We start from the raw sequence: 9,427 nt of genomic DNA, 5'->3' as shown, positions 1-9,427 counted from the left end.
GCCTACCTGACTGGCCCTCTGATAAGGGCATAGTGTCTCACACTGCAGGATTCTTCTCTGGGCTAATACTGCTTGCCTGGGAGAGGGGTGTTAGGTCACTGAACATATGGGCAGACCTCAAGAAATGTTATTTCCTAGAACCTTTTACTTTTTCTTCCTCAAACTAGAAAAACAGGAAAATAAATCCCCCACATATTCCTGAATTTCTTTTCTTCCCTAGTCCTCACATCTCTAAATATATCAAACATGATAATTTTATGAGCAACCAAGTTATACATAATACATTTTATGTTCTTAAATGTATCAAGTGATTTTAGATCTGCAAAGGATGCTATAAAACAAGAACAGACAGTGCCCAATTTGTAAATTAATTTGGAAGTATAACTTTTTTTAAAAAGTGGGTTTCTTGAACTCAGAATGCTTTTTCTCATAGAAACAATGATGGTTGAGTTCCAAGTGTGGACCACAACTGCCCACATAATCCATAATGTTCTGTAGCCTTGTCATTAGCTAATCACACTAATAGATGCTTGCTGAGCATATACTATGTTTGAGACTCATTAATCTAGTCTTTATATGTGTTGTCTCAGTGATTTAATTTTCACAACATCTCTATGTCAAAGGCAACCAAAGCTCAGACAGGTTATGTAACTTGCCTAAGGACACACAGCATATATATGGCAAAATTAGACCCTGTGGTCTCTCCTGCCCCAGAGTTGGCTGTTTTCGCATTCACCCTGTCCTCCTGATGGGTTTCAATCACGATCTGCGTCCACATTTTTATGAAAAAATACATTCCAAATTCCATTTGCAATGCCAAAAGCACATCTCTCAGCCCTGGCAGCTAAAGTCCCCCTTTGACCTTCCAATTTTTGTTTTCTCCTAAATAGCCTAAGAAAAGGGGGAGGGTAAGAGAGTGAGAGTAAGAGCAGCGAGCAAGTGTGCGAGCAAGAGAGAGAGTGCATGTGCGACAGAGAGAATGCATCAGTGTGATATGTTGGCCTGGAATGAACCCCATACTGTTGTTTTCCAGACAGCCTGTGTCCATCTCTTTCAAATTCATTGGCTCCCCAACTCCCATTGGGTAGCTGAGCTGGAAATGCACATACTACTCATTACATTTCTTCTGCTTTTACCACCTGTTTATGGTTCAGCCACTGACACAGCCTTGATAAAAGGGCTTGGTGATTGTTCAAATTCCAACTTGGAGCAGAACTTAACTTTGTAAATTTTCAATAAAATGTGACTTTAAAACAAACATGATGAACTTTCTGATTTTGCCCCCCATTTCTCCCCAGTTGGCATCTCACCAGGAAAGGGCCATCATAACCTTCTTTATGCCTCATCTCACCTACTTCACTCAGCCCTCATCTCCTGTTTCTAGACTAGCCACCCTTTTGCCATCGGATTATTTTGCCCTTGGTTATTATTAATATTACATGAAGGATTCATAATTTAGTTTATGAAATATTTTGGACCTGGATTTCTGCTTCTTTTCCTTCAATTTTCTGGATTTTCCCAAATTTACTCATCTCTGATGCTTCTACCTAAGGGGAAAAAGAAGTCAGGGGGAAGGCAAAACACAATGCCTTGACCAAGGGAAGTTGTTGCAACTGATTAGCTAAGGGGAGGTGTTTCCATTCTCCACGGACATTTGTCACTTTCTCCTCTCATTTTCACAGATAATTGGGAATTGGCCTTATAAAGTGGAAATGACATGAAGAACAAAATAGAAAAACATTCTCAACATACTCGGCACTGAAAATATGTACAATCTAATGAATGCTTGGCTAAGACATTATCCAGGATTTTTAGGAAGGCATGATTTAAAATCATCACCAACATGAGTGAAAAGTGTTCCCTTTGGGAGCTGAGCATCCATGGTCTCCGAAGAACCTTCACTGCCATTAGTTGATTAATTAATTCATTAACACCTCGTAGAGCACAGGATATTGACTCCATATGGCACTGAGCAGGCAGTTTGATTTCTTTAGAAAATTTCTCTTATACGAAAGCACAGAAATAGTAAATAATTAAGCTCCAAGCTGCCTCGTTGTGATCTTTTATTGATCAAGGCAGAGATTTGAGAGGAGGAAGGCTTCAGGCGCTCGCTCTAACCTGACTCTATTTGCCCCATGATGACATGTTACTGTGAGACGCTTGTTCTTATTATAAAGCCTTTAAGGAAGAAAATAAGCCCACAATATATTTATGGCTTGCGTTACTTCTGTCCGAGGTTAATTGCCTCACTCTTGAAGACAGCATTTTCTGGTGGACTCCCACGAGGCCGAGGGAAGTGATATGACGAGTGTGCTGCCTGCTGCCTTCTGAGTCCTGGCTTCATTAAGCTGGATCTTAATGCCTTTTTTCCCCTAATAAAGCTATTAGAACAATGACTTATGATTGTGTGGCTCAGTGAGACCTCCAGGGAATGAAGGAGGGGGCGTGAGCAGAAGGGCTTGAGCATGGATCAATGACAGAGGAGGTGGTCTCAGCTTTTCTGCCGAATGGGATTTTGCTGTTTCCCTCTCAGGGTGCCATGTTGCTCCCAACTCCCATGCCTGCTCACCACCCAGCGAACTGTCTGCCTCCCCCCAGATCTCCAGGTGGATCCAGGTGGGAAGGAGAGCCATTGAGATGGGACCAACAGCTGTCCCAGTTCCCAAACCTCTTCCCCTCTCGTTCTGCTCCATCCAATTCTCTTCACTTCTATGCATTCTTTTAGCCACTACCCTCTTTCTCTTTTCGGCAAAACTTCTTGAAGGAATTGTCTACACCCGCTATCTCTACATGCCCACCTCCCAGACACCTCCCAATCTGGGATTTCATGCTTCCCTTGTAGATGCCCCTTGGTGACAAAACTCATCTCACTCCTCTCGGGGGCAAATCTAATGGACATTCATGTGATTCATCTTCTGCGAGGAGGCTTTGGAAATTGTCCACAACTCCCTTCTTGATATCTCCTCCTTTGGCTTTTCTGGCAACTCTTGATGGTGTTTTTCCACTTACTCCTGAGGGACAGTTGGGAGGATGCAATGCTTATATTCCCCGTTGAGAAAGGACTTCCCATCTAGTTGAGGCTTCTATAGGATTTCCTCAATCTTTGGGCCAAGGTCTTGCTCTTCTCAAGCAGCCCCATCCAATGACTAAACAATGCAGTGGTAGAAGGGCGCAGTCATTTCTCTCCAATGTGGATTCCTCTAACAGGAGTGTCTGCTCCGGAGTTCCCCATTGGGTGATGGAGACGTTGTCATGCCTGCATCATGGTCTGACCACTCCCCCTGCCCAATCCTCCTGTCTTTTTCCTTTCACAGGTGTTGCTTCCCAGTAAACCTTTTGCTCTCCTGTCTCAGTGTCTGTTTCCTGGGGGACCCAAATGACACATTCCTTGTACTCCTTTGTTGCTGTTACTTTTTGCAAGTGTCTTAAATGATGGTGTTTCAAAGGCTTTGGTCTAGGTGCCCTTTTCTTTTCACCTTACCTTTTGTTCTTGGGTCATCACCTTATTTTCCTACCTGTCATTCACTCTTTGCCACAATGGTGACTTCCAAATCTCTCTCTCAGATCGTGTCTCTCCCCAGTCTTCGATCTGTGTGTCTCTACTTTGCTGAGCTCTCCACTTGGATGTCTTGCAAGCACCTCAACCTTCACATATGCAAAACAGAAGTAATCATCCCAAGCCTTTGTTGCTTGACTAAAAAAATGATCCTCCCACATTTTCTGCTAAGGGAGTGACACCTAACTGTGAATTAAATCTCTGTGCCTGAAACCTTGGTCCTGTTCTTGATTCCTCTGTTGCCCTGTCACCCACAGTCGACCCCCAGATCCAGATCCCTCCAGATCTTTCATGTGACTACTGTCTCCATCCTTGCTGGAGCTGCCTTTGTTTTGACCTGGATCATGGCAACTGCCTTCTGACTAGTCTTTCTGCTTCTAATCCCACCCCACTCAGTCCATTCTTGAACCCATTGTTAGAGTGATTTTAAAATATAAATCTGCTAACCTTTCCCTGATCTTTCAAACAGTTCGTGTGACCTGATTCGTCCAGAAAGCCAGACAAGAATCTGAGAGTGGGGTTAACAGTCGTCCCTGGACTGCAAGGCTAAAGGGGCACACTGTAACACATGCCCACTTGGGCTCCAGCACCTGTCTGTCTGCGAGCTCCCCCTTCCCTCAGGGGTTTGAGCAGCGGAGAGACTGAACAGGCGAGCCACACACCTGTTGCACATCCTGTGAGGGGAATCAGGGAACTCTCCCATTCACCTGGACCACCAGTGTCAGCATCACCTGTGAACTCATTAGAAATGCAAATTCTTAGACCCCAGCCTAGACCTACTGAATGAGGAGCTCTGGGGCCCAGCAATCTGTTTAACAACCTCTCCATGATGCATGCTGAAGTGTATCAGTAGCTTAAGAAGTTATCCACATCTCAAATTCCATCTTTTATACTCCAGCACTCTCCTGTCCTTCTGCTCGGAACACACTGAGTAACTTGCCTACTCACTAAGGGGCTTCCTTTGCTGGCCCCTGATTTGTCTTAAAAAATCAGTGCATGTGTCATCTCCTCCAGGAAGCCTTCCCTGACACTTCCCTAGCTGAGCTAGGCACTTCTCCTGTCATAGTTCCCTATGCTTCACTCTATCACAGCCCTTATCTCACTGTGTTATAATTGCCTTTTTACCAGGCTGCATCTCCTGCCGGACTGTAAGCTTGCTCAGAAGAGAGATTGTCTTTCATCTCTGACTCTCCAGGGCCTGGCTCACTGCCAGACCCAGAGAAGGGGCACAGTAATGATGTCCTGATGGAATAATATTAAGTACCCACCTTTGCTGGAGTTGCTGGGCTACAGTGGCACTATCAGCTGCCTGCAGCAGGTGTATTTAGCCTCCTCCCACAGCTTCCAGATGCCTCTGGACAGCTACCCTAAAGTAACGGGGCTAGAGTTTGATCTCATTCTGCCTGTTTCATCTTAGCCCTGGGGAGCTAGATGCTGGCATGTGCTAATTGGATGACGGCATTGAGTCCAACTGGGTTCGTAAATGTGTGCATAGGCAGTGAACAGAACACATTTCAAACAGAATCATCTTGGAAATGCTTTGATTCTCTCAGATAAGCATTATGACCCTACACTCCTGGGAACCTGGCATCAGTCTGCCATGCTGTTATTGGTAAGACCCTGCCTTGGATATCAGTTCTGCTGGGGAGGCAGCAGTGGCTGCTGCTGCTGCTGCTGCTGTATCTTCCCAGACTCTTTCACCCTGAAAGGCCTTAATTTGTCCATCTTCACAGTGGGCATCATCCAGATTAGTCACGTGCTATGCCAAGTGCTCCAGGCATAAGTCTTTCTGAATGAATCTGACTTGAAAGCACAGAGCATTAGGTATGCCGCTTGAAATGCAGCAAAACCAGATGGAGAAAGCTGAGAGGAAACGCTGGTCTTTTTAGGCAGTCTGGGAGCCCAAGGAAGGGCTATTCAGGTTGCAGGTGCTGGTGAAAAAAAAATGGAGTGGAGAAAGGATACTTCCTAGTCTGAGAAGAGTGATGCTTCTCCTTTTCCATCTCCTGTCTTGGCAGCTCCTGCCACTTCCAGTAGGCCAGCATGCCTCGTCAAGAAGAGGTCTAGATGACAGACTGGAAAAGTTTGAGCTTGCTGACGCGACTGGAAAGGTTTGAGCTCACTGGAGCAGGTTTGCTTTCCTGGTGTGCTCACCTCAATCCCTTGTGAGGCCAGGTTCCTACACTGCACTAGTCAAAGGGACGGCTTTCTCCCATAAGTCACCCCTCGGACCAAGTGCACCACTTTAAGGCAGTGAGTGGTCCTTAATCTATTTTGGAGGATCAGGAACTCTTTTAAGAATCTGAGAAAATGATGGTAATTCTCCCTGGAAAAAGGAACAGTTCCTCAGAGGTACACATTTTTTGGTATCCTTTCAGGTGGTCTGTGGAATCCTGAGGTTTATCCATTAACCCATTGGAACATATAGACTTCTGATAAGGAATCCCTGCTGTAGTTGCCTCTAGTCTTTTCTGCACCATAGGCTCCTTCTCCACTGGCCTTCCTCCTTAAGCCCCAGGCAGAATCACTCCCGTTTCAGAGCTTACACAGCATGTGGCCCTTGCTGCAAAGCAAAGCATAAAAGGTCACATGGCCTCAGTCTCCAGAATTAGGCTGGCCTGGGTTGCTGCCTGGGGTTCCTATCCTGGCTTTCCCACTTATTCACTGTGTGACCTTGTGGACTGATAGATTAACCATGCTGAGCCTCAGTTTCCTTGCTGATTAAGTGAGCATGATCACAGGATCTGCATTATTGTGAGAATTTAATGAGACTTTGCATGTTAGGGCCATCCATGTGACCAGGCAGGCAGCAGTAAAAGGGGAGTAGTCTTGACCTCAGCATCCCCATTCTGCTTAGGAGCCTGAATTTTCCCCAAAGCTGGAAAGCTGGTCACCCAGCCTAGGACCTGATGGGTATGGATTAAGTGAGATAAGTGGATTAAGTGGAAAAGTGTAGCAGGTGTAGAAGCCCTGGCTTTGGAGCCGGAAATGGGTTTATAACTATCTTCTGACTTTGGGCAAACTTTATCTCTCGAGGCCTCAGTTTCCTTAAATGAAATGAAATGGGACATTGACACCTATCTTGTAAGACTTTTGTGTAGACCAGATTAACTATAAAAAATATTTAACACATGGAAGATGCTGAAGAAGTGGAAGCTATAGCCATGACTGTTAACTGTGGAAGGCTGAACAAATGTGAATTCTGAAAATCACATTCAGGGTGTCATTGTTCATTTTGGGGTTAGGATTAAGCCTAGCCCTAGACATAGAGGTCTGGGAACATGCCCAATTTAAGGCTGTAAGTTGAAACTGCTTAAATTCAAATCCTGGCTGTACCACTAAGTAGCTGGGTGACCTTGGAGGAAGTTAATTAACCTCTCTGAGCTCCAACTTCTTTATCTGTGAAATGGAGATAATAATACCACCTACTGCATAGAGTTGCTTTATTGTGAAGATCAAGTGGGAGAATGTATATAACACATTTAGTGCAATGTTTGGCACATAGCAAGTGCTCAATAAATGGTAGCTTTATTACTATTATTGTCTGAGGGAGGGCAAATGAGGAGGTCAATACCCCAAAGCCCTACCTTAGGCTGCAGTGCTCCCCAGGTAGCAGAAGTCAGCCTTAGCCTCTTGAGGAATTATTTTGTTTTGCTTTTGTTTTACAGCCAAGGCTGGACAATTCAATGGCAGGCTGCAGGTGACCTGGTCTGAGCTAAGGCAGGGGAAAGGCCAGGGCCCCACAGACTCCAGGGGCCATGGAGACCCTGTATAGTGCAGGACAGCATGCTGTTTGGAGTTTGCTCTGTTGGAGATTTTCTGTGCACGTTTCCTGGACAACTTGTTCTTCTCTTCCCTGGTCCCTGGAGCCCCTGCCGACTGAGGTTTCCAGGAATAGGCCTGTCCTCTCTTAGGTAAGGAAAGGCCATTTCAGGATACCTGAGGGCAGAGGCTATCTGGGTCTAGGGCTCTATGCAGCCCAGCTCCTCCAAGAGAGCCCCCAGGCCCAGCAAGGCTGCTGGGCTTTGTTCATATTCATCCTCACTTGGAGCTGCACCTTTTCTCCAGGCTGTGCGGGAATGTGCATCACCATGGAAACGCTGGAGGTGAAATCACTCAAGTGTTGGCAAGCGCAGTTTCTCTCTGGAGCTTGGAAAAATGGAGAGCAGGAGAGCAGGCTCATGGTGTCACAGAAAGGAAAGATGCCCTTAAAACAACCCAAATGCTCTCAATTTCACTTGGGGCCTTTCCCTTTAAATAAAAGCTGAACAATAAATGAAAGAGAAATGTTTTCAGTCTCTAGATCGGCTACCCCAGGGAGTCCGCTTGGAATGGACATGTCGATCCTTTCTGGCTTTCCTAATCTGCTACATCTTGTAGACTGGATAACGCATCCTGTCTGGAAAGAAATGGGGTGACATCTCAGAGTTGATATTTTAAATAGATGAAGCTGAAGCTCAGAAGTGCAGACCTTTGTGCCTGTTGGCCATTTCTGGTCCTTGGGCTGATTTTTGGGCCCAGAACACATTTTCTAAATGAGAATCTGACAGGCTCCTGGTGGCTACAGTCAGCAAGGATGTATTTGCTCACCTGAGGGGCTCCAAGATAAGCTGTGCCCATACCTGTTCACAGACTGCCCCACCCACAGGCTTGTAAGGGCTCTACGCCAGCTCCTAGAAATGCTTTTGGCAGTGAAGGACCACATAGCTCTGGCTGCCTGGGGCAGGGAGGGAAGGCAGGGTCTAGGCAGAGTGAGAGTGTGCTGGTGGTGGTTGGCCACTGGAACAGCTTGAGGGAGACTTTGGTTAGCTGGGGGACCTGCACATGCCCGTAGCTTGGTGAGGGCCATCGGTGTGGACCACCTGATAATTCTAGCTCAGTCTCAAGAGTTACATGATTCTTTCTTGTTTTATTTTCCTCCGTTGGATAATTCTTCCTCTCCTTCCATCAAGGGCAGTTTTGAACACATTGTGTAAAGGCTCGGCTTCATTCATTTACTCATTCATTCAACAAATATTCATTAAGGGCTGTCATGTGTCAGTGACCTTACGGTAAGGTCTGAGTTACAGTCTTCTTGGAAATAGTCTTGGGCCAGGAAGTTAGAATAGATATATCACAGATAAAGAATTTTTTTTTTTTTTGCAAAAGACCAGTGCTTTCAGCAAATGACTCTATTTTAACAGTTGTAAATTTTCTGTTTTTATCAGGGACTTTGATTACTATGTCAAAGGATGTTAAGACAAATAGGCAGACAGACAAACAGATAGAAACACTATTGGCCTTGAAACTATGGACAGCGCTTTACTTTGCTAGGTGAAAACAGGCAGGTCAATCCAAATGCCATTGAACTTACTGCATTCTGTGCGATTAAGGTTGCCCTTTAACCTCCCAGTGCTTTAGTTTTTCTCCATATTAAACTTTAGCCAGAACAATTAGAATACTCCATGTGTCAGAGATCCTAACATGGGAAGAGGTAAGGTTTGGAGATGCTGGCATGTGGGGCCAGTGACACCTCTCCTGGTATCTGACTTAAGGGGTGTCATTTACACAGATTGTGGGTAGTGGCTTCTGGAGTTGGTCAGGCAGCTTTGAAGGTTGGGGTTTGGAGTCAGGTGGGAACTAAGCCATCATACATGTTTGGGTTTACTATAGCAGCAAGCAGTACCTTAACAAACACACTGTGAGCCCTGAGGTTTTCCTACCAGGATCTGCTTGGGATCAGGAACTCACTTTTGGTCCAATCAGTTGTGGCAAAGGACTCCTGTAGAGAAAACCATGGTTATCTCTGCTCAGGAAATGGTGTAAGGCTTCTCTCAGTAGGGGCTTCAGTGGGGAAATTTTTCTTGGAAGGGGATTATGAGTATGGCAGTT

This window comes from Homo sapiens, chromosome 3 (assembly GCF_000001405.40).
Source record: "Homo sapiens chromosome 3, GRCh38.p14 Primary Assembly".
In the NCBI taxonomy this organism is placed as follows: domain Eukaryota; kingdom Metazoa; phylum Chordata; class Mammalia; order Primates; family Hominidae; genus Homo; species Homo sapiens.
Note: the sequence above shows the minus strand (reverse complement) of the source record.